Source organism: Homo sapiens, chromosome 14 (assembly GCF_000001405.40).
Source record: "Homo sapiens chromosome 14, GRCh38.p14 Primary Assembly".
In the NCBI taxonomy this organism is placed as follows: domain Eukaryota; kingdom Metazoa; phylum Chordata; class Mammalia; order Primates; family Hominidae; genus Homo; species Homo sapiens.
This window is the reverse complement of record NC_000014.9, coordinates 22,744,587-22,761,925: the sequence shown is the minus strand read 5'-3', so window position 1 is coordinate 22,761,925 and position 17,339 is coordinate 22,744,587. Positions and strand designations below refer to the sequence as shown.

At 41.9% G+C, this 17,339-nt stretch overlaps 1 long non-coding RNA gene and 1 other non-coding gene across 2 annotated transcripts in view; both read left to right on the top strand.

The window, feature by feature from the left end:
* Window positions 1–17,339, top strand: part of OXA1L-DT (OXA1L divergent transcript) — a 62,343-nt gene that overhangs the window by 4,637 nt on the left and 40,367 nt on the right. The gene's annotated exons all lie outside the window — the stretch shown is intronic.
* On the top strand, window positions 5,097–5,165 carry LOC124900351 (small nucleolar RNA SNORD41). Its single transcript, XR_007064404.1, has one exon. It is a non-coding gene; the product is annotated as a small nucleolar RNA SNORD41 (small nucleolar RNA).

Here is a 17,339-nt window from a genome sequence, read left to right as displayed (position 1 = left end):
TCAAATAATCTTTTTGCCCCTTTCTCTAACCCCTCTTTGGGAATCGTAATGCATATGTTGGTCTACTTAATGGTATTCCACAAGTTCCTTGGTCTCTGTCCACTTTTCTTTTTTTCTTTTTTTGAGACAGAGCCTCACTCTGTTGCCCAGGCTAGAGTGCAGTGACACAATCTTGGCTCACTGCAACCTCTGCCTCCCAGGTTCAAGCAATTTTCCTGCCTCAGCCTTCTGAGTAGTTGGGATTACAGGCACTCATCACCATGTCCAGCTAATTTTTGTATTTTTGGCAGAGATAAGGTTTTGCTGTGTTGGCCAGGCTGTTTTCGAACTCCTGACCTCAAGTGATCCACCCGCCTTGACCTCCCAAAGTGCTGAGATTACAGGCATGAGCCACCTCACTTGGCCTATCCACTTTTCTTTATTTATTTTTCTTTATGCTCCTCAGATTTGAAAATTTCAATTGTCTTATTTTCAAGTTCACTGATTCTTCTGTGTTTGAGCTCCTCTAGTAAATTTTCATTTCAGTTATTGTGTCTTTCAGCTATAGAATTTCTGTTTAGCTCCTTTTTACAATTTTTGTCCCTTTCTTGGTTTTCTAATTTTGTTAATATACCATTTTCCTGATTTCCTTTAGTTTTTTGCCCATGTTTTCTTTTAGCTCTTTGAGCAAATTTAAGACAATTGTTTTAAAGTCTTTGGTAAGTCAAATGTCTGGATGTCCTCAGAAATGGTTTCTGCCAATTAATTTTACTCCTTTGAATGTGCCATGTTTTCCTGTTTCTTTGTATGCCTTGTAATTTTTGTAGTTTTTGTTGAAAAGTAGACATTTGAAAAAACAGCTAACTCCCCTAGTCTTTGCAGATTGGCTCTATACTGGTACAGTTCTTCAGCACTGAGCAAGGCTTGCTTTGAGCCTAGGGATCAGCTGAGGTGAAGGCTTAAGGTCTTTTCAGGGCTTTTCTGACCAAGTGTCTTACCTGGGCATGTGTAACTTCCCAATTTCCCCATATACATGGCTGCTTTTGAATGTCTTATTTCCTAAAGAGTCTCAGTCCGGTTTCTCCTGGGGCCTTACATGGTCTACTGTATGTATCCACCCATAGTCTTTTACTCCACATGTCAGTGGGTCTGTAGTCTCCTTGCAGCTTTCATGAGCAATGACTACCGCTTTTCTGAGACCTGAGGCCAGTCCTTTAGGTAACCCCCATATGCGCACAATAATTTGCAAAAAGCTTTGCTCTTCTCCCTTCCATTTAAGGGAGGGAACTTGGAATTAGGCTGCTGCCTCTTCCAGACTAAGAGCACTGCCGCATCAGGGAGGAGGAGGGGACGAGGGCAAATAAAGACACGACAAAACTTTCTTAACATTTGGAAGGTGGGCATTCACTTGGTTACTGTAAACCTTTAACTGTTTTTTGGAGCTCTTACAGGTTAGTTCAGCTCATTTCTGGTTGTTTTATGAAGTTTCTGTTGGATAATGAAAGCTTGGAGCTTTGTCGTCCACCATTTTGCTGATATCACATGAGCATCCATTTTAATAAGATAGAAGAAAAGAGCACATTGGACCTTAAGTAAGTGTAAGAAAAGGAATAGAAAGTTAAGAGAATAGGCCAGGCATGGTGGCTCACACCTGTAATCCCAGCACTTTGGGAGGCTGAGGTGGGCGGATCACCGGAGGTCGGGAGTTCAAGACCAGCCTGACCAACATGGAGAAACCCCGTCTCTACCAAAAATACAAAATTAGCTGGGCATGGTGGCACATGCATGTAATCCCAGCTACTCGGGAGGCTGAGGCAGGAGAATCGCTTGAACCCGGGAGATGGAGGTTACAGTGAGCACTCCAGCCTGGGCAACAGGAGTGAAACTTAATCTCAAAAGAAAAAAAGAAAAAAAGATCAGGAGTTCAAGACTAGCCTGAGCAACATAGTGAGATCTCATCTCTAAAAAAAATTTAGGGCCGGTGGCTCACACCTGTAATCCAGCACTTTGAGAGGCTGAGGCAGGAGGATCACAAGGTCAGGAGTTTGAGAGCAGCCTGGCTAACATGGTGAAACCCCATCTCTACTAAAAATACAAAAATTAGCTAGGCACAATGGCTGGCGCCTGTAATCCCAGCTACTTGGGAGGCTGAGGCAGGAGAATTTCTTGAACCCAGGAGGCAGAGGTTGCAGTGAGCTGAGATCGTGCCTTGCACTCCAGCTGGGGCGACAAGAGCAAGACTCCGTCTCAAAAAACAAAAACAAAAAAATAAAAGAAATAATCTATATTTTGATTATTGTGGTGGTTAAGTAGGTGAATACATTTATCAAAATTCAGCAAACTATTCATTTAAATGGGCACATTTTATGTAAGTTATACATAAATAAATTTTATTCATAAGTAAAAAAACAGTTTACAGAGGACACTTCCCTGTCAAAATAGTACATTTGTCTCGATTAATTCATATATTTTGAGTGAAAAATTTTAAAAAGTTTATTCTCTGGATAATTACTTTGCCTTGTCACCTGGTATGGACATTTAGTCTTTGGTGCCTTATGAGATAAATGAATAAAGTGCTTGGGTAGTTCTGATGAGAGAGATTATGTCTAAGAATACATCAGGGATGGCTTCATGGAGGAAACCATTTTTAATCTTGGCCTTAATTAATAGATACAGAGAAAGAAAGATAAAAATAAAGAAAATAGCATGGCATTCCAGGCAGAATGAACAATAAAGGAAAACAATATTGCCTTTTGCAAAAATACACTGTTTTTTTTTTTGAGGGACTCTGTGTTTTCATTGTTTGTAATATCACGTCTCCGTGTTAAAGACCTGTGTGTAATTTTCAGTCATTAATTATGCACGGATGATTTCTCCCTATGCAGAATGCTGTTTGGGCTTAATCAGGCAATCTTTTAAAAGATGTAGTCTCTAGGGATTTGCTATTTAAGAAGTGGAACTAGCTACGTTATAATTAAATAATTCCTGCTACAGTACCATGTAAAAGGTCATTCATCATTCAACATTTATTTATTCTACAAAATATTTATCGAGTGCCCATTATATATCTGGTACTATTCTAGGCAATAGAGATACACATAAGTCAATATTTATCCCTCATGGGGCCTAATATTCTTTTTTTGTTCTTTTTTTTTATTATTATACTTTACGTTCTAGGGTACACGTGCATAACATGCAGGTTTGTTACATATGTATACATGTGCCGTGTTGGTTTGCTGCACCCGTTAACTCATCATTTACATTGGGTATTTCTCCTAATGGTATCCTTCCCCCATCCCCCCACCCCACGACAGGCCCCGGTGTGTGATGTTCCCTGCCCTGTGTCCAAGTGTTCTCATTGTTCAATTCCCACCTATGAGTGAGAACACGCGGTGTTCAGTTTTCTGTCCTTGTGATAGTTTGCTCAGAATGATGGTTTCCAGCTTCATCCGTGTCACTACAAAGGACATGAACTCATCCTTTTTTATGGCTGCATAGTATTCCATGGTATATATGTGCTACGTTTTCTTAATCCAGTCTATCATCAATGGACATTTAGGTTGGTTCCAAGTCTTTGCTATTGTGAATAGTGCCGCAATAAACATACGTGTGCATGTGTCTTTATAGTATCATGATTTATAATCCTTTGGGTATATACCCAGTAATGGGGTGGCTGGGTCAAATGGTATTTCTAGTTCTAGATCCCTGAGGAATCGCCACACTGTCTTCCACAATGGTTGAACTAGTTTACAGTCCCACCAACAGTGTAAGTGTTCCTATTTCTCCACATCCTCTCCAGCACCTGTTGTTTCCTGACTTTTTAATAATTGCCATTCTGACTGATGTGAGATGGTATCTCACTGTGGTTTTGATTTGCATTTCTCTGATGGCCAGTGATGATGAGCATTTTTTCATGTGTCTGTTGGCTGCATAAATGTCTTCTTTTGAGACGTGTCTGTTCATATCCTTTGCCCACTTTTCGATGGGGTTGTTTGATTTTTTTCTTGTAAATTTGTTTAAGTTCTTTGTAGATTTTGGATATTAGCCCTTTGTCAGATGGGTAGATTGCAAAAATTTTCTCCCATTCTGTAGGTTGCCTGTTCACTCTGATGGTAGTTTCTTTTGCTGTGCAGAAGCTCTTGAGTTTAATTAGATCCCATTTGTCTATTTTGGTTTTGTTGCCATTGCTAATATTCTTAAATTATATTTAATATCAAACATTCTAAGAAATCACTCTGTAATGAATGTAAAACCACTTTGGGTAGAGAGTATGATACCAGTAGTTCTATTTAATCTTCCTTTTAAACAAATATATATTTATTTTAAAACATGGGTTTTTCATGATTTTTTTTTTGGTTAAATTTTCAGCAATGTGTTTAATACTCCAGGATACCAAAAAAAAAAAAAAAAAAAAAAAAGCCTGGGGAATTTATAGTCTAGATATGGAGAAAATACCTATACATGACATGATTAAAGTACTTTTAAGTAGAGTGTGTAATGAAGTTTGAGGTAACAAAATACAACAGGGTAACTGTGAGGGTGAAATTGACATGGGGTCACAATATTCAGGGGACATTTATGAAGGAGTGTTGGTGAGATTTTAGTTGGTGCTTCCAGGCAGAGGGAACAAGACAGCAGGCCTGGAAGCAGTGATGAGTGGGGTATGTGGAGGACACTGTGAAGACTGGCCTGTAATAAAGTTTAACCTGTAATTCCTTTATAAAGATTTCCACTTAGGAAATTAATCACAGTTATATTCATAGAGGTTCATTACAGTGTTATTTAAAATGATGAAAATTGGCCAGACGCGGTGGCTCACGCTTGTAATCCCAGCACTTTGGGAGGCCGAGGCAGGTGGATCACGAGGTCAGGAGTTTGAGACCAGCCTGACCAATATGGTGAAACCCCCTCTCTACTGAAAATACAAAAATTAGCTGGGTGTGGTGGCATGTGCCTGTAGTCCCAGCTACTCAGGAGGCTGAGACAGGATAATTGCTTGAACCCAGGAGGCAGAGGTTGCAGTGAGCCTAGATCACACCACTGCACTCCAGCCTGGGCAATACAGGGAGACTCTGTCTCAAACAAACAAACAAAACTCCAAAAAAGATGAAAATTGGAGGGAAGTGATGACAACTGTGACTGTTGTGTGACACTGATTTCTCTCATATTTGTACTGGCTGATCCTGAGGTGAGTCAAAAAAAGACAAAAATGTATAAAAATAAAGAAAAATAAAATGATTAAAAAATGGAAACAACTGACATTTTAATCAATAGGGGAATAGAAATGACTTAGACTGTATTCATTCAATAGAGCAATATGTAGCCATTTCAAAACATGTTTTTGATAACAAGGTGGTAAAATGTCCATGATGAAATAAAAATGTTCAGGCCAGGCGCCGTGGCTCACGCCTGTAATCCCAGAACTTTGGGAGGCTGAGGCGGGTGGATCACGAGGTCAGGAGATCGAGACCATCCTGGCTAACATGATGAAACCCCATCTCTACTAAAAATACACGAAAAAATTAGCCGGGTGTCGTGGCGGGTGTCGGTAGTCCCAGCTACTTGGGAGGCTGAGGCAGGAGAATGGTGTGAACCCGGGAGGCAGAGGAGGTTGCATGAGCCGAGATTGTGCCACTGCACTCCAGCCTGGGTGACTGAGCAAGACTCCGTCTCAAAAAAAAAAAGAAAAATGTTCATAATTATGTAAAAGAAGCAGAATATAAAACTGTAAGTACATTATGATGGTAATTTTATGAAAATGAAAAAAAATATGTATATCTTAGAAAAAAAGCCTGGAACAAAATACTCCAAACATTTTATTTACTTTAATATAATTTATGTATTTATTTTATAGAGACAGGTTCTCCCTATGTTGCCCAGGCTGGTCTTGAACTCCTGGGCTCAAGTGATCCTTCTGCCTCAGCCTCCCAAATTTCTGGGATTACAGGCATGAGCCACCATGCCTGGCCTCCAAATATTTTATGATGGTTATCACTTGTTGATGGAATTATAGGTGATTTTTATTTCCATCTTTATATTTTTCTGTAATTTTAACATTTATTGTAATGATTACATATTTTGTTTATGCTCTTAGATAATATTTGTATTAGTTTGCTAGAGCTGCCATACCAAAATACCATGCACTTGGTTGCTTACACAACAGAAATTCATTTTCTCATAGTTCTGGAGGCTAGAAGTCCATGATCAAGGTACCAGTAGGCCTGGTTTCTTCTGAAGCCTGATTCCGTGGTTTGCAGGTGGCTACTTTCCCACTCTGTCTTCATATGGTTTTCCCTCTGTCTGCACATGTTTCTGGTGTCTCCTGGTATGCCTAAATTTCTCCTTCTTACAAGGACACCAGTCATATTGGATTAGGGCCCACCCTGAAAAAAAAACAGAGCACCTCATTTTAACCTAAGCAATGCTTTAAAGACCTTATCTTCAAATATAGTCACATTCTCAAGTACTGGGGCTTAGGACTTACACAAATTTTGGGAAGACACAATTCAACCTATACACTAATTTAAAAAGTAATTGGTATATTATTGGTAATACAGACACAAAAACTGGGGCAAGCCTGACTAGAGTAGAAAGATATGTGGCAAATAGCAATAGGAGGGTAGGTGAAATAACTTCAATGATACCTTAATTATTGATTGTTCACTGTGTACTGGGCATTGTATTAAGATATCTTGACTGTCTCACGAAATCATTGATTTAAATATTGATTTAATGTGGCATCAAGTTTGGGAAAACATTGAATCATGACAAGCTGCGGACTTTGGGTAGACATAAGGAATGATTTCAAGGTAGGAAAATGACACGAGGAAGAGTATTTTATTTATTTATTATTATTATTATTATTATTATTATTATTATTATTATTATTATTATTTTGAGATGGAGTCTCGCTCTGTTGCCCAGGCTGGAGTGCAGTGGCACAATCTCGGCTCACTGCGACCTCCGCCTCTTGGGTTCAAGTGATTCTCCTGCCTCAGCCTCCCGAGTAGCTGGGATTACAGGTGTGCACCACCATGCCTGGCTAATTTTGTATTTTTAGTGGAGACGGGGTTTCCCCATGTTGGCCAGGCTGGTCTCAAACTGCTGACGTCAGATGATCCACTGGCCTCAGCCTCCTTACAGGCGTGAGGCACAGTGCCTGGCCATTTATTTTTATTATTTTTTTTGAGACGGAGTCTGACTCTGTCACTCAGGCTAGAGTGCAGTGGCATGATCTCGACTCACTGCAACCTCTGCCTCCCGGGTTCAAGTGATTCTTTTGCCTCAGCCTCCTGAGTAGCTGGGACTACAGACATGCACCACCACGCCTGGCTAATTTTTGTATTTTTAATAGAGATGGGTTTCACCAGTTGGCTAGGCTGGTCTCAAACTCCTGAACTGTAATCTGCTTGCCTCAGCCTCCCAAAGTGCTAGGATTAGATGCATGAGCCACTGTGCCCGGCCACAGGAAGGGTATTTTAGGAAGATTAGTTTGGTAACAGAATGGATTAGTGGGCCAGGCACAGTGGCTCATCCCTGTAATCCCAGCACTTCGGGAGGCGGAGGCGGGTGGATCACTTGAGGTCAGGAGTTCGAGATCAGCCTGGCTAACATGGTGAAACCCTGTCTCTACTAAAAATACAAAAATTAGCTGGGCATGATAATGGGTGCCTGTAATCCCAGCTACTCGGGAGGCTGAGGCAGGAGAATCGCTTGAACCTGGGAGGCGGAGGTTGCAATGAGCCTTGCCATTGCACTCCAGTCTGGAAGATAACAGTGAAACTCTGTCTCAAAAAAAAAAAAAAAAAAGAATGGATTAGTGTCAGTTTAATTTCAGGGATCAGCAAACTTTTCTGTGAAGGACTAGAAAGTAAATATTTTGGGGCATACATATGGTCTCTGTTGCAAATACTGAACTCTGTCATTATAATGTGAAAGCAGTGACAGACAATAACTAAATGAATGAGCATGGCAGCTGCTAAATCTCAGGTTTAAGCTAAAGCTACCTTCTTACATATTTTAAGTTCAGCCTAAAGGTTTCTTTGTACATTGTGAACTACAACCTAAATGGAATTGTAAACAGACTGTAGCCTACTCTTGTGCCAATCACTGTTTCGGCCAATCAAACATGGCCAACTGTTCAAACTGTTCAAATAGGGCAAATGCCGAGCTACAAGCAATCCGGCTGTTTCTGTACCTCATTTCCATTTTCTGTATGTCACTTTCCTTTTTCTGACCACGTGGCTGCTCTAGAGTCTCTGAGGATACTCTAGCTCGGGAGGCTGTCTGATTCATGAATCATTTTTTTGCTCAATTAACTGTTTTAAATTTAATTCGGCTGAAGTTTTTCTTTTAACTCAGTGTACCAATAAAACTTATGTACAAGGAAAATTGCAATGTTCCCAACACAAAGAAAAGATAAATGTTTGAGGTGAAGGATATCCAAATTATACTGATTTGATCATTACACATTGTATACAGGTATTAAAATAACACACATACCCCCCCAAATATGAACAACTATTATATATTAGTTAAAAAACCCTTGATGTACAAGAACAGGTGGTGGGCTAGATTTGGCTGATTGGCCACTGTGTGGTGACTCCTGGAGTAGACCATGTAGAAGGGACAGTAGCAGATAAAAACTGGAGGTTCAAGCCAAGTTAGGAAGAAAATACGGCAATAATTAATATCTGCAGTGAGGAGGGCCAGAATTAAGCTGGGCCAATGTGATGGAAATGGAGATATATTGGAGCCCTTTTAGGGTAAAAGGACTGCAGACCAGGTGATGACTGGAATGCAGAACTTGAAGTGGAGAAAATGAAAGATTTTGGGGATTCTGAGCAGGGAAGTGGGGAAAGGGCAGGGCAGTGCCACCGACATAAATGGATACATCCATGAACTGGCCATTTGCCTGGATGCTCCCAAATCCTTTTCTGCTCTTACCCTCTCTAACTCATATCACGTGAAACTACTTGCCCCCTGGCTTCTGAGTGGGTTCTGGCAATGGAAGTGTAAACCAAAAATAAAATTCTAAGACCCCTCCTCTTGGCCAAGGGCATTCCAGAATTAACCTGAAAAACTAGCTCAGGCCATGATGGAAGAGAGGGTTGGAAATGCCTCGTTATACCCTCTTCCCTTTTGGAATTCAGGAAAAGCCCGACCAGCATTGACCAACACAGATCTTAAGTCTGATCAGAAACATTTACAATCTACTCTCTCAGAAGCCCGCTACCTGGATGCTTCAAGTGCAGGATAAAACCTTGGTTTACACAACCCCTCACTGTAACCCAGACATTCCTTTCTACTGATAGTAACACTTTCAACCTGATGCCAATCAGATAATGGTTTCTTTTTTCTTTTTTTGAAGCAGAGTTTCACTCTTGTTGCCCAAGCTGGAGTGCAGTGGCGTGATCTTGGCTTACCGCAACCTCTGCTTCGCGGGTTCAAGCGATTCTCCTGCCTCAGCCTCCTTGGTAGCTGGGTTTACAGGCATGCACCACGATGCCTGGCTAATTTTGTATTTTTAGTAGAGACAGGCTGGGCACGGTGGCTCACACCTGTAATCCCAGCACTTTGGAAGACTGAGGCGGGTGGATCAGGAGTTTGAGACCAGCCTGACCAACATGGTGAAACCCCGTCTCTACTAAAAATACAAAAATTAGCCAGGCATGGTGGTGTGTGCCTGTAGTCCCAGCTACTCAGGAGGCTGAGGCAGGAGAACTGCTTGAACCTGGGAGGTGGAGGTTGCAGTGAGCCGAGATCATGCCACTGCACTCCAGCCTGGGTGACAGAGTGAGACTCCATCTCAAGAAAAAAAAAATAACTAAAACAAATTAGCCGCGCATGGTGGTGTACACCTTTGGTCCCAGCTACTAGGGTGGCTGAGGTGGGAGAGTCCCTTGAGCTCAGAAGTTTGATGCTGCAGTGAGCTATGATTTCTCCACTGCACTCTGGCTTGGGGAACAACAGAGTAAGACCTGCCATCTCCAAAAAAAAAAAAAAAAAAGGGCTGGGCATGGTGGCTCATGCCTGTAATCCCAGCACTTTGGGAGGCCGAGGGAGGCGGATCACCTGAGCTCAGGAGTTCGAGATCAGCCTGGCCAGTATGGTAAAACCCCGTCTCTACTAAAAATACAAAAATTAGCCAGGCGTGGTGGCACATGCCTGTAGTCCCAGCTACTTGGGAGGCTGAGGCAGAAGAATAGCTTGAACCTGGGGGGCGGAGGTTGCGGTGAGCCGAGATCAAGCCACTGCAATCCAGCCTGGACGACAGAGCGAGACTCCGTTTCAAAATAAATAAATAAATAAATAAATAAATAAATAAATAAATAAATAAGTAGAGACAGGGTTTCTCCATGTTGCTCAGGCTGGTCTCGAACTCCCAACCTCAGGTTATCTGCCTTGGCCTTCCAAAGTGCTGGGATTATAGGCGTGAGCCATGGTGCTGGGCAGAGAATTGTTAAATCTACCTATGACCTGGAAGGCCCATCCCCCACCTCCCTCCTTTGAGTTGTTCCACCCTTCCAGATCAAACCAATGTAAATCTTACATGTATTGATTGATGCCTTATGTCTCTCTAAAATTTATAAAAGCAAGCTGTACCCCAACCACTTTGGTCGCATGTTGTCAGGGCCTCCTGAGGCTGTGTCACAGGTGCGTCTTTAGCCTTGGCAAAATAAACTTTCTAAATTGATTGAGACCTATCTCAGATACTTTTAAGTTCACAAAAGTCACTGGCACAAGAGTGTAGACGGGGGGAAGAGAACCCAGGGTAGTTCTCTCCTGCTGTCTCTGCTTCCTGCAGAGATGTCTCTGCAACATCCCTTCCTCCTTGGCCAGACAGCCTTTCTCTCCACTATTCTAGTTCCCTCCATGCAGACCTTGCCATGATTCTTCTGACCTCTGGATGCCCTTAGATTCTGGGCTCCACTAACTCCACTAACTCCCATTGTCCCTCCAGCCTAGGAGGTGGCGGCAGGTGCCTGCTGTTGCATTTCCAGATTGCTTCGTTGTGCCCCTTTTGGCTTCTTAGCTCTTCTCTTACCCATGTACCAATTCCCTGTGGTAAAATCCTTCTGAAATACTTAGAGTGGTTTCTGCTTTCTGGCTGGACCCTAACTAATATAGTTCAGAAGCTGCATCAGTTATTAAGTTATTATCTCTTAGCTCCAAACCCACTGCTTTGTGATTCTGGGGCTGGTATTCCACAAACTGCTTTTCTGCTTCTCCAACTGGCTCCCTGTTCCACTCTGCCAATGAGGGATGCTAGAGCAGGGCTAGAAGGCTGGACGTGGGAGAATGAATTGTTACCTCTAGTTTGTTCCATGTGGGTTTCCTATCTAATTGCATCCTGTGAGCACCATCAAGCGGCGCTTCTTCATTCCGGCAGTGCCTCTCATCCAGGAGCTGTATCCAGTTTCCAATCTTTCTAACACTTGCAGAGCCCATCTTATCATGCCCACTCAGGAACATCAGTGGTGCTCTCTCCTCAGATGTATGAATTTCAGTTCTGTGGGAGCCTTTGTTTAAGCTTCAAAGTTTTTTATTATTTATTTATTTATTTATTTTTTTTAAGATGGAGTCTCGCTCTGTCACCAGGCTGGAGTGCAGTGGTGCAATCTTGGCTTACTGCAACCTTTGCCTCCCAGGTTCAAGCGATTCTCCTGCCTCAGCCTCCCAAGTAGCTGGGACTACAGGCGTGTGCCAGCACACCCAGCTAATTTTTGTATTTTTAGTACAGACGGGGTTTCACAATGTTGGCCAGGATGGTCTTGATCTCCTGACCTCGTGATCCACCCACCTCGGCCTCCCAAAGTGCTGGGATTACAGGCGTGAGCCACTGTGCCCAGCCTGAGCTTCAAAGTTTTAATCACCCTGGCCTCTTCCCTTTGTTCCCTCAGCTGTAGGGGTGGCAACTGCATTCTGCAATTGCTACCTCTGTGGTCCTTTAGAGTTCTCTTTTTGCTCTTTTAGTTACCTAATTAGCAACTTTATAATTACTTAAAAATCCTTTATATTTAATTCTTTCCATACACTGGTGTGGTTTCTGTCTCCTGACTGGGTCTTGCCAGTTACAGAAGTGCAGCTGTGTTTTTTTTGAAAGGTGTCAGGTTTGGTTTTGAGAATATTGAATTTGCAATGACAGCGGGCTATTCAAGTGGAGATAACTTGTACATAGATCAACTATGGCCCTGGAGTTTGTGGGAGAGACATGATCTGAAAACGTTTTGTTCTCGTCAGCACTGATGTGGTCACAGTAACTATGATTGCTTGAGCTCTTCGGGTGAGTGGTGTGAAGTGCCAAGAGCAGATGGCTGAGAACAGCCTCACAAAGAAAAGGTGGCAACATTTTTAAAAATCACAAATTTGAAGATACAATGATGAATTTATGATAAAGTGTTGATAAATGAAGCTCATACCAAGATATTTTTTCTGGCTACACTTAAATTCTTACCCAGCCCATGTTTCGAAGTGTGTACCAATATTGAGGCTATCCTTACAAAGCAAAAGCCTAGGTTCCCTGGAGCTCTTACTTTTCCTCTAGCACCACTAGGGAAAGCCACCAGGTCACAGTGAAGACAGTAATTTATCCTTCCTTCTTTTGATTCTGCAAGTCTACTATCAACACTATAGTGGTACTGCAGAAAGATATAAAAGTTATAAGAAAATTTTATCATCTTATCAGTGGGACTCTCCCCATTACTAACCAGCTATTTTTTAAAATGTCTTTTAAAAAACTTTTATTTTATTTTACTTTTTTGTAAAGACGGGGTCTCACTATGTTGCCTAGACTGGTCTTGAACTCCTGGCCCAAAGTTATCATCCCTCCTCAGCCTCCCAAAGTGCTAAGATTACAGGCATGAGCCACCGAGTCTGGCCTTTTAAAATGTCTTATCAATTTATTCAAACATCTACCGAGTAGGTACTGACACCTGGTGTCAGGTGTCCATTTCTTTGCAGTTTCCTGCCCACCATTGTTCTAAGCCTTTTCTCTCCTGCACCCTCCTCTTGGTGCCCCTCCGTGCCCCTTCTCCTTTGACAGGGGCTATCTGTTACTTTGCTGGCAAAATAAAGACCATGCGAGATAAGCCTTTTAATTCCAAAACAACTCTGTGGCAATTTCTTTCTCTTCCCCATCTTAGGCGAGGAACTGAACTTCCTCTTTCTAAGTTTAAACTAACCTTATGTTTTCAGTCCTCTCTGTTCTCTCCCTTTTCTCCCTGGTGGGTGCTATAACATCTGCAATCAAAGATTTTCTGTCTTAATTATCTTCTTTTTGTCTAGCTTAAGCACCTTTAATTTCTTCTTCTCTCCTCTGCCTGCAGACATAATCCTTTTTCCTCCTTGCTGAAAAAAACAAACAAAAACCCCAAACCCCAAAGCCTTCATTTGACCTTGCTGCAATTTTTATCCTAATTTCCTCATCCTTTTGTTGTTACATGTTTTGAGGACAGAATTCCATTTTCTCAATGCAGAGTCACTCCTTGTTCTGCCCTCTTGACGTCTGCTGCTCCCTCAGCCCTCATCTCTGCCACTCAAACTGATTGCTGAAGGCAACCCTGGGTTCCTCATCCTGAGGCGTGGCGGATTTTTCTCATCCCTCATTGTCTTAGATTTCTCAGTGGTATTTGACACTGTTGATTATCTTTCTTTCTAACTCTCTCCTTTCATAGTTTTCATAGAACAACATATAATTTTCTTCCCATCTTTTGTAACCTTTCGAGACAATTTGGATGACTATATGTGCTGAGCTTAAATTCCAACATATCTACTGCAGTTTGTTGGGGGCATGAAGAAATAATGGTGTCACCGAAAACTGATTGCTGCTAAGATAGGCTTTGTATAATTTTGTCCAATGATAAAATCAACTAGGGGTCTGTCTTCAGCTTGAGAGGTCTTACTATTTGATTGTGTCAGAAGTTGGCTAAAGTAACCAGTCTCATCAGAGAATAGTGCTTGTTGTATAGTCTGTCCCTTGAACCATGCTAGCTAGCTAATCCCTAACACATTTTGCCCTTCCAATCCCTTTCATTCCTCCACGTTTTAACCTTCCAGTTTCTGATCTAGATACATTAATTCATTGTTTAGGATACGATCAAGTTCTATCTTCTGACTTTTTACGTTTATGTCCCAGTGGCATGTATTGGTTTTATTCATTAAACTTAGAGTTCTGGAGGTTTTTCTGCCCTAAGTGTAACACACAGTGCTCTATATAAGAACAACAACAACAACAAAAACAAACCCACTTCATTTGACAGGCTTTTCTCTCTTCTTTCTTTTTTTAATTTTTAATTTTTTTTTTTTTTTTTGAGATGAGGCCTTGCTTTGTTGCCCAGTCTGGAGTGCAGTGGTGCGATCATGGCCCACCACAGCCTTGACTTCCTAGGCTCAAGCCATCCTCCCTCCTCAGCCTCCCAAGTAGCTGGGACTACAGGGGTGCACCACCACACACAGCTAATTAAAAATTAAAAAAAAAAAAGAAATGGGGTCTCACTGAGACAGCCAGATGGGAGGTGGTCCCTGGAGAAACTCCAACCAGCCTGCCAGCTGAGGTGGAGCCTGGGGAAGTTCATGACTTTCGCAGCGGGGAGGAGCCTGGCCCCTCTTCCTGTGTGGAACCTGAGATTCAAAGGGTGGGTGGGATGCGCTCTAGCAGGGGGCTCTGGCCTTGCGGAGGATCCTTGTTTCCCCCTTTTATTTCCCTTTTCATTCAGTAAAACCCTACTTCACTCACCCTTTAAACTGTCTGTGAGCCTAAATTTTCGTGGCAGTGGGACGGACAAGAACCCCGTCTTTAGCTGAACTAAGGAAAGTCCTGCAACATCACTGTGTTGCCTAGGCTGGGCTTTTCTCTCTCCTTAAATGTAGAAGTTGTTTAACATGATCCTGATTTTGAAAAGTAGAATGCCTCTCGGAGATTTTATGTTTGTTATTCAAGATGAAGAAAATAGGGTTTATTATTGTATGAGAATAATTCTATTCATAAATTAAAAATGCTAATTTGAAAAATGCCATCATCCTATGAGACTGGATAAAAATAAGAAAGGATAACCTGGTCTTATAAACAATTTTTTGGGTATTGTGCAAAGTTATAGAGGAACTTCTAGTTCTCAGTGTTGTTAGCTGATATCTATCATGGCGCTTTAGACCAAATAGAAAGAGAACTGAACATTGTGAGTTGTTGGAAAAAGAGGCCTCTACAACAAAGAAAAAAGAAGACTACAGTTTTTTGAACTTTAACTGTTACTTATTCCTGATTTGAACATGGCAGATTTTTTTTTCTTTTTTTTGAGACAGAGTTTTCCTCTTGTTGCTCAGGCTGGAGTGCAATGGCAGTATCTTGGCTGACTACAACCTCTGCCTTCTGGGTTCAAGCGATTCTCCTGCCTCAGCCTCCTGAGTAGCTGGGATTATAGGCATGTGCCACCACACCTGGCTAATTTTGTATTTTTAGTAGAGATGGGGTTTCTCCATGTTGGTCAGGTTGGTCCCGAACTCCTGACCTCAGATGATCAGCCCACCTTGGCCTCCCAAAGTGCGGGGACTACAGGTGTGGGCCACTACACCTGGCCTTCAAACATGGCAGATTTTAGTAGAGCCTTAACACTTATCCCTGCTGCTGTCATTTACCATGAGTTAACTTATATTGCTGAAAGTAGGGAGATTTTGCTACTTATAGATCATAGAATTTCCCTGCTTTCCCCTTTTTATTCTTTTATGTTGTATTTTTTCTCCTATACATATGTTGTAGTTGGGTACACTGTGCAACTCAAATGCACAATTTAATTTTACTTTGATGTGAAGAAGTTGAGAGTACAATGTGACTTGGCTAGTAATGAGGAAGTCAGGGCGAGAATGCATCTTGGATTCCCCACTAGCCAATTCTGGGACAATTTGAGCCTCAAAGTTACAATGATAGTTAACATAATAACTTACTGACCAAAATAGAAATCCAAGAGTCCAAACTGATGTACGTGAAGAAATGAATAGCCTATAAAAGGAAGACAACAGAACACCTTCTCTTTACAGCAGAATGCCAACTAATAAGTGTGATAAATGTAGATAGAATGATGGAATGAGAAAATCACCATCTGATAACTACCATATTAGTAATTGCTTCAGACAAGAATCATCAATGGTAGCTAAAGTTAGCCAGCAAGTTTGATGAGGAACATGGTATTTACTAGTCTTGAATAATCTCCCTGAAGGTTACCTAGTCATTACAAAGGGAAAAATAGTAACTTTACAGTGGTGCTGTCTGGTAAACACTGCTTTAACCAAGTAATCAAAGTTATATCACTAATGATGGGACCAAGTAACATGCATTTCTCATGTGATGTATTTTTTTTTTTTTTTTTTGAGACAGAGTCTCCATCTGTCACCCAGGCTGGAGTGCAGTGGCAAGATGTTGGCTCACTGCAACCTTCACCTCCCGGGTTCCAGTGATTCTCCCACCTCAGCCTCCTGAGTGGCTGGGATTAAAGGCACCTGCCACCACGCCCGGCTAATTTTTGTATTTTGAGTAGATACTGGGTTTCGCCATGTTGGCCAGGCTGTTCTTGAACTCCTGACCTCAGGTGATCCGCCCGCCTCGGCCTCCCAAAGTGCTGAGATTGCAGGCGTGAGCCACAGTACCTGGCCTTCTGATGTGATGTATTAACAAGGACACAACATCATTTTAGTGGTATTCCTGCCAAAAATGCATATGCTGAATCTAATCATGAGGAAATATCAGACAAACTCCAATTGAGGGATATTCTACAAACTGGCCTCCAGTCTTCAAAAAAGTCAAGGTCATGAAAGACTGATGATCTGTTTCAGGTTAAAGGAGACTAAAGAGACATGACAACTGGATGTAACATAATCCTGGAATTGGAGACTGGACTTAAAAAAAAAAAGACGTGTTGGCATAACTGATGACAGGTGACTGACTACGTACTGGATTAGAAAATGGTATTGTAGGCCGGGCGCGGTGGCTCACGCCTGTAATCCCAGTACTTTGGGAGGCTGAGGCAGGTGGATCACCTGAAGTCAGGAATTCGAGACCAGCCTGACTAACATGGTGAAACCCCATCTCTACTAAAAATACAAAAAATAGCTGGGTGTGGTGGCTCATGCCTGTAATCCCAGCTACTCGGGAGGCTGAGACAGAAGAATCGCTTGAACCCTGGAGGCGGAGGTTGCAGTGAGCCGAGATCGCACCATTACACTTCAGTCTGGGCAACAGAGTGAGACTCTGTCTCAAAAAAAAAAAAAAAGAAAAAAGAAATAATGGTATTGTATCAATGATAAATTTCCTGATTTTGATAATGGTACTATGGTTATGTAAGAGAATGTCCTTGTTCATAGGAAATGCA